This window comes from Homo sapiens, chromosome 3, assembly GCF_000001405.40.
Source record: "Homo sapiens chromosome 3, GRCh38.p14 Primary Assembly".
In the NCBI taxonomy this organism is placed as follows: domain Eukaryota; kingdom Metazoa; phylum Chordata; class Mammalia; order Primates; family Hominidae; genus Homo; species Homo sapiens.
In genome coordinates, this window is record NC_000003.12 from 140,298,046 (window position 1) to 140,313,963 (window position 15,918).

The 15,918-nt window shown below is 42.6% G+C and overlaps 1 protein-coding gene across 2 annotated transcripts in view, besides 1 other annotated feature; it reads left to right on the top strand.

The window, feature by feature from the left end:
- CLSTN2 (calsyntenin 2) overlaps nucleotides 1-15,918 on the top strand; it is a 642,213-nt gene that overhangs the window by 362,861 nt on the left and 263,434 nt on the right. The window lies entirely within an intron of this gene.
- Nucleotides 388-1,068: an enhancer, noted in NCBI's record as "OCT4-NANOG hESC enhancer chr3:140017275-140017955 (GRCh37/hg19 assembly coordinates)". NCBI's record gives its function as "activates a minimal SCP1, AML or CMV promoter by ChIP-STARR-seq in naive H9 embryonic stem cells {active_cell/tissue: H9 hESC(naive)}" and the evidence as "EXISTENCE:reporter gene assay evidence [ECO:0000049][PMID:30033119]".

Genomic DNA, 15,918 nt, shown 5'->3' on the forward strand with positions numbered 1-15,918 from the left:
CACTCAAGTCAACAATTTACTAAGCTTCTGCTATGTGCTAGGCATTGTGCTATAGAGGTGGGATATTGTAAAATAAAAAATAAACTAAATACATAGTGATTTTAAGCCCTGGCTCTGATTTAGACAGGCTTGCACACAATTTCTGGCTGTATACTAGCTGTGTGATTTTGGCCAAATCACTTAATATGTGTAAACCTCAGTTTCCTTATCTGTAAAATGGGCCTAATATAGTTTATTTATAAAATACATGTAATAGTTCATTTACTAATGTAAATATTTGAGGCCATAATCTATGTAAAGTCCTTAAAACACACCTAGAATATAGTGTCCATTAGACCGGAAGGAAATAACAATAGTAATGATGACAATAATCATAATTTATGTTGGCCTATAAACTTTCAAAGTGCTCACCATCTAGAGAAAAAGATAAACACTGAAACACATAGCTGCAGTTGTCTATGATAAAAAATGTTGAGGACACATAGGGAAGCTGCTTGTAGTATGTCTGGCAGCCTGAGCAGGGTTTGTCCCCCAGGAACACTGGGGAAGCTGTGAAGCCCAGGAGGGGAGGTAACTTGCCCAGGATCACACAAGAAGACTCATTCAGTTGTTCATTCATTCACAAAGCAAAGCTTTTGTCAGGCAAAAGGCAATAAACTTCCTCCAAAAGCCCATTGTCCAGTGGGGCAGCAACTGTGGATGCAGTGGGGGTAATTAACATACAAGAATGAGAACAGAATGCATGGTGTAAAAAGAAATGCAAATAAACTACAAAATTGGAGTGAAGAGGCATGAGGGTAGAAACCCACCTTGAAGAGGCAAGGAAGGCCCTTCAACCTGAATAAAAGCTAGGGGACTTGGGAATCTGAGATCCGGGAATAGGCTGCAGCTGCAAATGAAGAGACTCTGAATAGTGCCTCACCCAGTGGTGGACCTGTGGGGAGCATGGTCCCTGACCCTCTTCCCCCTGTACCTTGGTCTCCGTGCCTCACTGTCACCTGGGCTCTCCAGTGCTCACTTTCCCCTCCACTCAGCTAAGTGCTACTGGCTCCTAACAGCCCAGTGTCAAGTGCTCCCTCCTGCAGGAAGCCCTTCCAAACTACTCCAGGACACAACTTTCAATTATTATAGTGTGTGGCCCAAATGAATGGGAACAGCCCTGTCTAGGGAGGAAGGGGCTGTAACCCTGGACAGCCATTCACTCATCAGATCTTAATTTGAGTGATTATGTGGGCACCCCTGGTTCCCAGCCGTTGTCCTTAACCAAACCTATAGGAATCCTTAGCCAAAAAAGATATTTTAAGGTTCATTTATTATTGAAGCTCCAGTATATATAGTCAGTTCTGTTCAATTTAGTAAACCAGTGTTCTTAATCATAACATGCATATACTGTATGTATCTACATGCATATTCATAGAGATAAGTCATATTTAAATCCAACTGTAACGTTTCATTCGTGTTAACTGCAGTCCTTGCTTGTCAGGGAAGTAGCAGAGCCTTCAGCCAGGTGTAGAGGAGTGTGTATCAGTCCTCATCCTGTCTAGAAGCCCTTAATTGTCTTCTCCTACTGTGTTTTTGTGTCGGTCACCTATCTTTGGCTATTGACTTACATCCCACTTTGCTCTGCATCATGAAGGATGCTGCTTGTATAAGATTGAAAAGTGATTTTCAGAGACATCTTAGCCTCCATAGACCATTGCCCAAAGTTCGTAATAAATATGGTTTCTTCTTTGGCTATATTCTATCACACTAGCAAGTTTCTTTCTAATTTAGTTTGCATGGACATGTACACTTCTAGAACTTGGTGTGAGTTACACAGACTTGCACGTTGGAGCTCTCAGTGAGGGTTTTCTTTTTCCTCTTCTGTAATGCTAGTGTTTTTATTGAATGGTTGGGAGAATGCCACATGTGATGATGGTTTTGTGTACAGCCTTGCCTTTTGATGAAAAGAATAACTTCCGAATTGTGAACAAGCTGAAAATGTTTCCCCCTTGTTGCTCAGAAGCTACAGCTCTTGGCTCCCTCACTGGGAGCTATTGCCCAGAATGCAGTCTCGCTCCCAATCTCCACCTGTATAGGATTTGCTCTTTAATTATCTCTGGGAATAGGATGCCAAAATCTGCAGTTTAATAAATAACTCAAGGGATTTTATGCATAATAATGCATAAGAATCAAGTTCCTGATGCAGGGCTGGGCAGAGATTAGGCCCTCAGCAAATAACTGTGATTGGGAATTTTACAGGTCTTGCTGGTTCTTTGATGCTGATTAATGCCCTTCAACCAAAATTCCTACAGTGTCTGTTCTCCTACCTGTCTTGCTTCCTTCTGTCTTGCCTTTCTTCCTTCAGCATGTACTAAATTCTTTTTGGGTGCCAAGCCCTTTCTTTGGCATTGAGAATTCAGGAATGAAAACCACCCAGCCCTGCCTCAGAGAGTTGGCATTGGGAAATACAAGGAAAATCTATAAATATATTACTAGATAGTTGGTGCTATTACAGAGCCCAGCACAGGGTTCTTTTGGGGTCAGGGGCTCTGAGGTAGGTTCCCAGATGTGCCTTGAATGTAGATCTGAAGAATAATAAGTAGGAGCTAGGTGGGCCCATGAAAGGCTGAGTAATGTCCTAGGACAGTGGCTTTCATACTCTTTCAACTCAAGATATCTTTACACTCTTAAAAATTATTACTGAGGGCCACAAAGAACTTATTTGTAGTAGATCTGGATTAGTCAGGGTTCTCTAGAGAAGCAGTACCAGTAGGCGATATATATATATGCATACATAAAGAGATTTACTATGAAGAACTGACTTACACAATTATGGAGGCTGAGAAGTCCCATTATCTGCTGTCTGCAAGCTGGAGACCCAAGAAAGCCAGGGTATAATTGTAATCCAAGTCCAAAGGCCTGCAGACCAGAGGTGCTGATGATGTAAATCCCAGTCCAAAGGTAGGAGAAGACCTATGTCCCAGCTCAAGCAGGAAGGCAGGAAGCAAAAGGGCAATTTCCTCCTTTCTCTGCCCTTTTGCTCTATTCAAGCCCTCAAAAGATTGAATGATGCCCATCCACACTGAGGAGGACAGTCTACTTTGGTGAATCCACTAATGCTATCCAGAAACATCCCACAGATATACCCAGAAATAATGTTTAGTCTGGGCACCCCTTGTCAGCTTGACACATATACTTAACCATCACAGTGTTATAGCTATCAATACTTAACCGTATTAGAAGTTAAAGCTGATATTTTAAAAGTATTTACTTAATGTATTTTTAATAATTAATAACAAATCTATTACGTGGTAACATAAATTACATCTTTTATGAAAAAACATATTTTCTAAAACAAGGTGAATCCAGTGAGAAAAGTGGCCTTACTTTACTTGATTGCAAATCTCTTTAATGTCTACCTTCACAGAAGACAGCAGGATTCTTATTTCTGCTTTTACATTTGCTCTGTGGCGAGATTATATTTCATGTAGCTTTTATAAAACTTCACTGTTCATCGATAAGCAAAAACAAGTGAAAACAGCAAATAACATCTTCCTGTAATTTTGAAAATAGTTTTGAGTTCATGGATTCTTGCCCCAAAAGGGTCACAGGGAACCCCAGGATTCCCTGGACTATAATTTGAGAATTTCTATTTTAGAGAAAAGAATCTCAAGGACTTACAGTTGGCTAACTTGCCAGGCTTCAGACTTCTGCTGTGTAGGCAGGGAGACCAGGTACTCCTCCTGGAGGCTGTGTGACTGTCAAGCAGCAACTGCCCATCCCTACCTCCTGCCCAGCTAGCTACATGTCAAGCAAATGGGAAACGTCACAGCAATCTCAGGACAGAGGTAGAATTTCCTCAAACCATTATAGTATTTTTTTTTTTTTGGAAAAGAGTCTTTGCTATTAGGGTACACAGAATGGTGCAAAACCCTCAGGCCTCTGTTTAAAGCAAATATATTTTTAAGAAGGCAGATATAAAATATTCTGTGCATGGATTGGACTTTGTTTTTTGTTACTAATGTGGCTTCTATGCTGTTATGTAGAACAACATTGACATTTAGTTGATTAAAAAGCCACTAGACCCGTGTCTTAATATTTGGAACATTGTGATCATTTGAGGCTTGGTTGGGTTTTGCTAGTTTTTGTTTCTTGTGGTGGTTGTTTTTCCATTTAGAAAAACATAAAGAATTCCAGAACCAGAACTGTGACTTTATTATTGCAAGGCCAGGTGAGCTGTCAAAAGGGCTGTAATGCTGGAGACCACTTGTTAACTGTGCTGACATACAGGGACCATATTTATGAACTACATAGTTGAATAAAGTTGGGTTTATGGACAGAAAAAAAGAATGAGAGAGAAAATGGTGAATAACTGTGTTCATTTGGTTCCCTTGGGATTGGGCTTGTTTTCTGCTTCTTTGCTATTAATGAAAAGAAATCCAATTTGTTCTACATGGTGAGCTTTGTAATTTAGATGCTTATTAATTCTAGGTTTGCATAGGAGCTCTTTGAAAAATATGGTCTTCAAAGCATTTATTCTCAAAGGCTAGTAAACGTTGCCTGAAAACAAGCAAAACACGTGTGGCTAAAATGTTTTCTGTGTTTAACACAAATTTATTGAGTACCTGCCATGTGCAAAACTCTCATCCAAGGTTGGAATGGTTGGGGATGTGGAAAAGATGCCCCCACAGTGGCCTACTGTCCAGCTGCAGGAGTGAGGCAAGTGTATAGAACAGATAGAAGAATGCTCCACTTTGCTAGGCCAGGTGGGAGGGTTGGAGACAGAGAAAGGTGGCTTGTAGGAAGGGATGATGTGGGCCCAGTGTGGAGTCAGGTGGGCTCAGATTTCCAAATGATGACTGACATTCTGGTGTGAGCTAAAAGTGTGTCAGCCCCGGAGATGGGGCAGGACTGTGATTCCTCCGCCATTGCTGAGTTCTCCATCTCTGTCCAGCCCCGCGATGCACACAGCATAGCAGGCAAGAGCAAGATCAAGGTCCCTGCCCTTGAAGAGAACACAATCTTGTTGGGGATGCATATGAATAAAGGAGAAATGCTGACAGGAAAACCTAAGGCATTCTGGGATGAATTCAGATCTCAGTTTAGGTTCTAACTGTTCACGAGATGAAACAAGAGCATGAACATCTTTGAGTTCAGCCATTTGATTCATTCAGCAGATATTTCTTAAGTGCTTATTTTGTGCCAAGCATATACCACAAGGCTTGAGGAACCAGAGGAGGCCAAGATGTGGTCTCTCTCATTCAGGGACATGCATCATCTTTTTCTCCTGTGTGCCTGGCACAATGCTGGAATGCACAGTAGTTGCTCAGTTAGCATTTCTTTAACTTGAATCCAAAGGAAAGGTCAGACTCTAGTCCCAGCTCTGCGTCTGCCCAAGTTTGTGAACCTTGACAGGTCATTTAGCTTCTCTCACAGTTTTCTGCTTGTAGAAGAGAAATAATATCTAAATAATCATTCCAGTTTTTTTTCCAAGCATAATTACAATAACGTCCTTCAAACACAGAGGTCTCTACAGTTTACAAAATTATTTTACTTCCAAAATTTAAAATATATCCAACTGAAGGTCACTTGGGGAAAAGGAGATTATGGTGGCTTCTAGAGATGTCTGTAAAATGTTCCAGAACAAATCTGTGCCTGAAGGGATCATTCGGTGTCCCAACTTGACCCTGTTATTGTGACCTGGCTCCAGTAACACAGGGGCTCTAGAGGATGTAGGCAGTGCTCCTGTATCCTAAGAGGCATCAACTTGCTCTGGCCAGATGCATGAGGAGACCAGCCATGACCAGGAATCTCACTTTGGACTTCCATGGGATCAACATTCACTGGGAGGGCCTGCAGCTTTGGCACTTTAAAAATCTAGGATGCTGGGGAAAATGAAGTCCACAGAAGTGCCACTTCTCTGATTTTAAGCAAGTTACTTCTTTCTGTGGTCTCCTTTCCTCTGTCTTTGAAATAGCAACCAGAAAACCTACTCATTTGGGTGGTGGTATGGATTAAATGAGACAATATATGTAATACTCAGAAAAAGCTATGTGTGAGCTATGTGGTTATCTCTGAAACTCGCAGTGGGAAGATGAAATAGCTTCTGGCTATAACTACATGAAACTTCATTTCTTTGAATTTTCCGATAACTGTGGCTAACCTAAAACTCCTTCATATTTCTTTTTCCATCACTGATAATCTAAAATGCTGGGTTCAGTTACAAGTGAAGTCTTCTGCTGATGATGGAGCTCTGAATCTTTGCGTCTTAGTTGGACAGCCATAACAAAATACAATAGACTAGGTGGTTTAAACAATAGGAATTTATTTCTCACAGTTGTAGCTGCTGGGAAGCCCAACATCAAGATGCCAACTGATTCAGCTCCTGGTGAGGGTTCTCTTCCTGGCTTGCAGATGGCCATCTTCTTGTTGTATGTTCATAACGGCAGAGAGCAAGCTCTGATCTATCTTCCTCCTCTTATAAGGACACTAATCCCACCATGAGGGCCCCACCTTCATGATCTCATCTAAGCCTAACTAACTCCCAAAGACCCCACTTCCAAATACCCTCATATTGGGAGCTAGGGCTTCAACATATGAATGTGGGGGACACAAGCCTTTAATCCATAATACCCTGTTTGGATTTTGAAGATGACTCTCCAGGGCTGTAGTGGAACAGAGACAGGGAGGAAGCGTCTTTTCTCATTGAATCAGCGCAAAGGGTTAGTGGTGTGTAGTGGAAAGCAAGCTGGCTTTGGGTCCAGCCTGATTTGAGTCCCCACCCCAACCCCACCACTTACTAGGTGTGTCATCTTGGGTAAAATGCTCAACCTCTTCTCCTCAAGTAGGAAATTATTTTTTACTTACCTATTGTTGTAAGTCCGAAGTAAAATAACCTACAGCGATTGTCCAATGCCCTGAATGTTGCATTAGAGGCGAGCTATGCATGATAGTTTGCTTCTCCCTGGAGGACATAGCTGTCACACACACACAGAGACACACACACACACACACACACACACACACACTCTCTCTCTCTCTCTCTGTCTCTCTTTCTCTCTCTCTCTCTATGGTGATACTCTCTCTCTTCCTCCTGTTCCCTCTTTAGTACTAATCACTGTGTAGCCTCCACTCCGTGCTGAGGATCCTGTACGTGGATTCAAGCTGTCACCACACAAGACAGGGCCAGAAAGGGCTCCATTTGTATATTATTATTTATCTAATATATATTATATAATAGCCTGTTCATGCTCATTTCCAACAAGGAGCAAAATTAGAAATCACATCTCTTAATACTTTCAGAAACTGAATACAGGTCCCTTTAAACTCCATTCCCATTAGATAGTGTCTTCGAAACACCTTAAGTTGCTGTGTGTATAGTGTGGTGGGGGTAAAGGCATTTCAAATCCCTTATCTCCAAAAGGAAAGCAAGCTCTTCCTTCTTTTCCCTTTACATCACCTCAGCAAGGTCAGACACATCGTGAGAGGAAGCAGAACGTGCTCAGGCAGAAATGAGAAGCTCACCAGGGACTTTGGTACCAAGAAGAACCCTGGGATGCCTTGTTGAGCTCACCTTTCCATCCTGGACAGCCATAGTCCTTACCTTCCAGCACAGAATGACACATTTACAGGACAAAGAAGAACTTGGGGGGCCCTTAATAGAGCAATGTGCAGCCATGGAAATTCAGACTCTTGAAAAATATTTTAAAGAGACAAAATACGCCCAATATTTTGTTAAATAAAAAAAGTGAGGCACGGGATTGTATGTACAGTCTGATCATGAATATGGGTTTTTTTTTTCAAAGTGCACAAAATGAAGCCTGGCAGGACTGACACTAAAAACTGATAGATAACTTTTTAATTATTTCATTATTCTTCCCTGTCTTTCCAAGTATTTTTGCAGTGAACATGTGTTACTTTTATAATCGGGTAAGGAATGGCATTTTGAAATCTCCGTCTCTTTACTCTAAGAACAGACCATGGATACTATAGTCATCCCCACCACTAGTCAGTTACTCTCACTGTGCCCCCTACACCCTCATAGAAATGTATCTCCCTTTCTACACATATCCAGATCCTATACATCCTTCAAGGTCCAGTGTCTTCCAGATTGCCCTTGTCAAATATACTCACAGTTGCACATTCTGTGTATCCCCTTTATTCCCACAGGCCTTCCACTGTGTTAAACACAAAATGCTGGGAGCTCTGTGCACACAGGGCACTCATCAATAGTCTGCCACCCAATGAATCGCATGCCATGAAGAGTCTTTCCTTATTGTTTCCCTTAGTTATAAACACCCACTATCACCTCCTTCATTAGAAGATGTAATTCCTTCCCACAGCATCGTAATTCTAAGAGGACAGCAACATGTTTAGAAAAAAAAAAACTCAGGTTTTATTGCCAACTGATCCCAGCTACACTATGCTGTGGTCTTGGGTAAGTTATTAAAACTCTGAGGCCCAGGTTGAACCTTTGTAAAGTGGAAGTCAAAGGCAGACTGATCTCCTGATCTGCAGGACTTGAGAATTAGAGGAAATGAATATAATAAGAACAATGCCTGCCATCAAGTAGCTGCTTCACAGCCTTGCTCTTTGTCCTACTCTTCATGGACTTAAAGAGCTAGTTTTGCCTGGTCATTCACGCTGTGTGTTCTGGACACAGAACCCTATTACTATTTTGAGTCTCTAGTTTCAGCACCCACATCATGTGGCTTTTCCAGAAAATTCATGAGTCTGTCACTGAAGTGGTTTTCTACTTACCAAAGGCAGTTTGTTTCAACCCCATCAGAGTTCTAGTGTTCTGGGATCCATTTTTGTCTTTTTATTATTATTATTATTATTATTATTATTATTATTTATTTTTTCTTCTCTGTTGTTTCTACATGAGTGACATGGTTTGGCTGTGTCCCCACCCAAATCTCATCTTGAATTCCCACATGTTGTGGAAGGTACCTGGTGGGAGGTAATTGAATTATGGGGGTAGGTCTTTCCAGTGTTGTTCTCATGATAGTGAATAAGTCTCATGAGATCTGATGGCTTTATAACCGGGAATTTCCCTGCACAAGCTCTCTCTCTTTGCCTGCTGCCATCCATGTAAGATATGACTTGCTCCTCCTTGCCTTCCACCATGATTATGAGGCTTCCCCAGCCACATGGAACTGTAAGCCCATTAAACCTCTTTCTTTTGTAAATTGCCCACTCGGGTGTGTCTTTATCAGCAGCATGATAACAAACTAATACAACTCAGAGTCCCAAACCATGTGGGACATTTCCAAACCCTGTCTAGCTTCCTGCTACACACCTTGCCGGCCTCCTCCTGCTCTCCTTGCCCTTCCTCCTGGGCACTCCTGCCCCTGTGCTTTTCTGAGCTCTTTGGCAGAGCAGGGCATTGACTATGCTGCTGTCAATTATCATGTCCATGTCTCACTGCCTCATTCTACACAAACAAAAAAAAGTTTGATCTAATAACCTCTAAGTATTCCTCTCAGGATTCAGCATAAAGTATGTGGCATGTAGTAAATGCTGAAAAATCTTAATGACTTTGGAGGCGGTACTTAGTCACATCCATGGGACTATGCCTTTTTCAGGACGTGGCACATAGAGGGTACCCATTAAATGTTCATTGACTGAATTTTTCAGTTGGTTCGTTGTTTCTTCCTCTTTATCTTTTCTCAATAGTCCCTGTATCTTCTTGAAATCAGCTTCCCTAAAATGTCTGTACCCTAGCTTGTGAATATTCTGCTTTCTTCCACCATTCATGTGAGCAGAGGAGTCTGAGTCATTTCTGCTCTTTAAGGCTTCTGGTATATTAAAAATAGAGCAATGCCAAACCAATTAACAATACATTTCATTTAAATGTTTACATTTAACAATTAGGGTTGTATGGTGAAGGCTCCCTCAGAAATCTGTCAGAGTATCCTTTTAACAGGGTCTGTAGATATAATCCTTACAGGCACAACAGTCGGCCTCAATAATGTAAAGTTGGCTCATGAATGTGAAGGATGAACCACAGCACCTCCTCCCCACCCCATGATAGACCCCACCTCCATTTGCTGAACGTTGAACCTTAGGGGAAAGTATACTAGGGTGTCCAGTCACCTTAGAATTGGCTCTTGGCATCTATGGAAGGCTACAGATCCTTCAATCCTGGAACACTGACAGTAGCAATATCCACTTAGGAACCAGGCAAAATGGAATCAGAGAAAGAGTACAGGCTTCAGGGCCAGAGGGCCTCAGTTTTCCAGGCCACCTCTACTTCACATTAGATGTTGATGTGCAGGCAAGTTGCTTCAACACAGTGTAGGTGTAAGGGGCATCAGTTCAGAAGGTGGCATTCAATATCAAGGAAGGTAGCATTGGTAAACCCACTTAGTAGGCTCTCAATAAATGACTTCGATTGTTATATAACCTTTGCAATCCCTCCTGGAATTCACCCTGTGTCCTGATAAATAAATGTGTGGTGTTTATGGAGGAATCTGCATCTCCTTTGGGAGCATCTACCTAGTTAATTCTAGCAAGCACATTTTGAAGTGACTGACTGCAATTCTGAAGCATTGTGTGAGGCATTAAAATCAGATTAGTTGGCCTTCCCCAAGAGAACTGGTGAATTTTTCAAAACCACCCCTGCTCATTTCTCAGCCAGCTGGAGTCTGGATGTTGACAGTGTTGACAGAAACCTCTCAACGTACAGTGCCAAATTATTAAACAATGTTCAACATTTCAGAAGCACAGTCTTCACTCCAGTTTTATGCTAAGTCATCCAGTATTCTGAGAAAACTGCCATTTGTTGACATGTTAGAATCCCTTCCCATCCTCCCCCATTCTGCTGCCTCCCTAAGCGCAGCTCTAATGGAAATCCAAGGGCAAATTCTCCATTAAGAATCATTTCCTAACTGGACTGTCCTGAAGCTACACAGAACAGGTGATTTGAGTCCTGATTCAACATTTTACTAGCTGTGTAATCTTTAAGCCATGGTTTCATCAGTTATTTATTCATTTGTTTATTTAACAAATATTTATTGAGAACATGCTGAGTGCTTGACTCTGTCTTCTCTGTTCCCTACTCTCATAGAACTTACAATCAGGTAGGAGAGTCAAACATTAAGCACATAACTAAACAACTAATTATTTAAATTATGATCTTGACAAGTGAGACAAAGCAGAAGTATAGGGTCCTGGGAACATGTCACTGGGGTCCTGGCCTACCTGGCATCCGAGGGAAGGTTTCTCTGAGGAAGGCCAAGTAGGACATGTAGACAGAGGGGCAGTGAAGGACCAGAGGTGGCAAGATGCTTGGGGCATGTAAGTGACAGGAGGATATCTGGCCTACCTGCTGATCCTCCCCAGGAGATGGTCCCAGGTAAGGCTGGTGAGAGGTGGGGCCAGATTTTGCAGGCTGGACACTGGGTGTCTGTAGAGGAAAAGGAGGCAGGTACCCCAGAGGCTTCTGGGAGTGTAGGAGTGGGGCTAGTCTTACCAATAACATCACAGTATCATGGAGGGCAAGTGTTATCACAAGCAGGGCATAGGTGATGGCAATGCAGGCAGGCCAGAGAAGGTAGGACCTGTGGATTCCAGCAGACCTGCTGGGCACAGCAGGGTCCCTCAGTGATCAAGACAGCTATGCAGGGGCTTCAGGTCACAGCTAAAAGAACCAGACAGCCACAAGAGTCACCCCCACGTGCCCTACCAGAAATTATTCCCCCGTGACTAAGTCTTTCCTTCGTGCTTCTCCTTCCCTATTCTGTGGGGCCTTCGTGTCCTTATGTCTGCACCCTGGTTTAGCACTTGGCCCTGAACTTCCAATCTCTCAGGCCCGGGCTCTACACTCTCCTTCCCACTCTACTCAGCACATAAAAACACATATACCACATTCTTCTAGGACCGAAGCCTCATAGTTTTGTCAGGACTGACATTTCTCACCGTGGCGGCTTGTTCCCCAGTCATCCTGCTAGGGCCCCTTCTACCCTGTCCTCCTTATATCAACCCAAGGGAGATCTGGTCATGGGGTTCTAGCCTTCTCTGGTTTCCCTTTCCTGCTCTTCCTCCTCCATCTCCTCCTTTTAATTTGCCCTTTCTCCTCTAAGACTGCAGGAGCTCAGATCTAAACACATCCCCCGGGTTACTACAGCAGTCTCCCAACTTTTCTCCCCAATAAGTGCTACAGCCAGAGTTATTTTTATAAACCATAAACCTGACTGTCACTTTAAAGACTTCAGTGAGCACCCAAACTGGCCCATAGGCGCCCCCACCGCACCCCCTCCCCGCCCTGAAGTTTGGCTGGCCCCACCCATCTCCCCAGCCTCTGTCGCACCTCTACCCAGCACACTCCCTCTGGCCCAGGCTCAGACACTCATTTGGTTTCCCAAGCTCTCCCAGGCCTCGGTGCTTTTAACTGCTGCTCCTTCTTCTGGAAAGGCACCACCCGCTTCTCACAGACAACCCTTCCGCCCTCATTTCAGTAATGGTGACCTCTGTGGGACTGTCATCAATGTCTGCAAGCAGTCAGGGTGGCATTTCTGGGCTGCGTAGTGCCCTCCACTCGCCTCAGTCAGGGTGCTTAGCTCACTGATTATAGTGGTTTGTTTACAGGTCTCCCTCCCTCATAGACCTAAGCTAGGGTCATCTATCCTATTCTATTCTATTTTATTTTTTTCTAATTCACTCCACTCTCCTCTACTTCATTGCATTCTATTCTATTTCATTCCATTCAAGATGGAATTATTATGAGATAATACAAGAAAAGTGTTTAGAACAGTGTCTGGCACAGAGCAAGCACTAAATATTGTCTATTATCTGCTGTCTTATATATTAATTTAAAAAATTTATGTATTCGTTATTCAATGAATATTAATTGTGTACCTAGTACAAACCAGCCTCTGTGTTAGGTGCTGCAGGTTCAAGAACAAATAAAAGCAGACATTGACTCTGCCATTCCAGAGCATCCCAGGCCGAAGGAACGGCCTGTGTAAAGGGCCTATGGAGGAAGGGTGAAGCATGGCTAGTCAGAGAGGCTGAGGAAAGCCAGTGCCACAACAGCAGAGAGAGAAAGGAATAGGTGAGCCAGATTGGGCAGTGAGTCAATAGAGTTCTATTTTAAAAATAGTAAGAGGCTACTTACTGAATTCAGGCTAATATCACCAGATTTGCATTGCCCAGGATTGGGAACAGTGAAAATATCTAGTAAAAGCTGTTTGAACGAATAGATGATGCATTAGTGTGTGAATTAATAATAATAATAACAGCTAAGGTTTATTATCCTTTTTTTTTTTTTTTTTTTTTTTTTTTTTTTTTTTTGAGACAGAGTCTCTCTTTGCTGCCTAGGCTGGAGTGCAGTGGCCTGATCTTGGCTCACTGCAACCTCTGCCTCCTGGGTTCAAGCTATTCTCCTGCCTCAGCCTCCCTAGTAGCTGGGATTACAGGTGTGTGCCACTATGCCTGGCTAATTTTTTTTTTTTTTTTTTAAGTAGAGATGGGGTTTCACCATGTTGGCCAGGCTGTTCTTGAAATCCTGACTTCAAGTGACCTGCCTGCCTCCCAAAGTGCTGTGATGACAGGCGTGAGCCACCGCGCCCGGCCAGATTTATGATACTTATTATGTTTAAGGCACTATTCTGAGAGTTTTATATGCAATAACTCATGTAATCATCATGACAACACCATGAGATAAGTGCTATTTTCATCATCTCCATTTTCCTGAGGAGGAAAGTGAGACACGAGACATGGGGTGTTGACAAAATTGCCCCAGTCCCACAGTAAGTGTGGCCAGGATTTCTACACAGGCACTCAACCCCAGATCCTGGGCTCCAGGTGGATGGGTAGATGGAGGAACAAACTTTTGCTAATGAATCACCCAGGGAATGAGAAGGCTTATCTTGAGTCGCATCTCTAATTATGAAGATTGTTCCAGTTACTTCTCTACATGTGTGTCATCAGTGTTCTTCAATTCTCATTAGAGTCACTTAATTAGAGGTAATGCAATTAAGCCTGGTTCTGTTTTCTGCAGTTCATCCAGACTCAGAGTGCTTTCCCTTTCTCCCATGCAGTATAGGGATATCTTCCCCAAATGCTTGGAAGCCATGCAGATGTTTATTTTTAATGAGAGGGCCAGGATATGCATCTAAGGTCTTCTCCCAGTAGCTGTTTCCTCTGTGCTAGTTTTTCTAACAAGTCATTATTTTGAGATCCTAGGTGAGCTTTACTTTACCAGTCGGAATCCCAGTTACACAAAACTAAGCGACTTCTTCCCTTTTGGCATGTATGGATTCTGCACAGTGTGGCCTTCCTTGCTGATGGCTGGTTTGAAGAGCTGGCGCTTGGCCATTCACTTGTTAGCACTGGGCCCTTGACCTGCTCTATCATTATCGCATCTGAGGAATCTTTTTTCTCTTCCTTTTTCTTTCAAGTAGTTTTTCCCCAAGGAAATATACCAACAGCTTTGACAGCCATGGTTATCATCTTTCGTCTACAATTCTTTCTGTAGAATTTGAGCTGTGAGCATGTGTGAAGTAACTGCTCTGCATCAGAAGCATGCAAGAAAGTCTACGCCTTCTTTTAAAATAATGAGAAATACAGAAGCTGGACACCTCTGGGTCTCTTCTTCTATCATGTTGTTAGCATTGTCAGGAGCCAGGATAAGCCAGTGTGTTGCAATCAGCAGCAAAGTGAACTCTGTAAAACCACAATGAAATTGTAATTAATTTGAGTCAAGGAAAAAATTGGAGGTTTTCAGAGAAACATAATTTAGTTTGCCTTGGTTTCTGAGTCTGACAGTAGTTACATGGGAGAAAGAGAGATGGAAATTTGCATTTGTTTTGAAAATTGAGAGCAAAACCTTTAAAGGGTTGACATTTTCAGCAATTGGAGTATTTGTTAGCTTGTCTGCAAAGGTCTTCGACCGAATCCTGAACAATTTCTATTTTGTGTTATTGGTATATTTGTTAATTTCTTTTTGAACATAAGAAAACATTTTAAAGAAGCAATGCAAGGATTCTGGTGGAGCAAAAGTTTAGGCAATTATATTCACTGAATCAAGTAATGTGCCATTCATGGTTCTACGTACTGGGGATATAAAGATGGCTGAATCTGACACTGCCTGTACTATCCAGAAACCCTATTTTGGTAGAAAAGTCCCCCCCAAAAAAACCATCAGTGGAACAAATTGTTTTACAGCTCTTTATTGAACCCCTCCCCATGTCAGATGTCCTAAATTTCATGCTGCTTAATCTTCATAATAACACTGAAAATTAGAGACTATTAGTTCCTTTTACAGAAAAGGAAACTGAGACTCAGAGCTTTCTGACTCCAAGACCCATAGCTTCTGCAAATCACCACACAGCCGTGGTACCCTGACAGGAGGCTAAAAGGGGAGGAATTTTTTTTCCACCTAGGGAGGGCCCTCACGAAAGACTCCATAGAATAGATGGCAGTTCAGTGGAGTGCAGTGTCATTTTGAATTCTATGACAAATTACTGCTGAGAGAGGCCAAAAGCAGAATAGAGCTGAGAGTGCCTAGAGGAGGTGGCAGTTGCGGTCACTGCTTTGGAAGACTCACAAATGGGTAATAAAGTTGTAGCAAAGGGGCATAATGATTCCAAGAGTGAAATGACGCAGAGCTTGACAGTGAAGCTTTTACAGCTTCCCAGTGCATCTATACCAGCTACTGAGAGGCTATTTCTATACTCACAAAGTGAAGTGTGTCATGGGTAAAAAGTCCAGACATCATAATGACTTTGTGACACAAAGCGCAGTGCACTGATCTCCAAATCATAGCAAATGCACAGGCAAATTTTTCTGCCATTGCCTCAGGCCTTTGGGAAGGTGACATCTGCCAGTTTGGGAATATTGAGGGCAGGTCAAAGTGGAAAAAACAGGAACAGGCCCCACTTTTTGGCGTTGTCCCCTTTGACCTGCCCCAGTACCAGTTCCTCTGGTAGC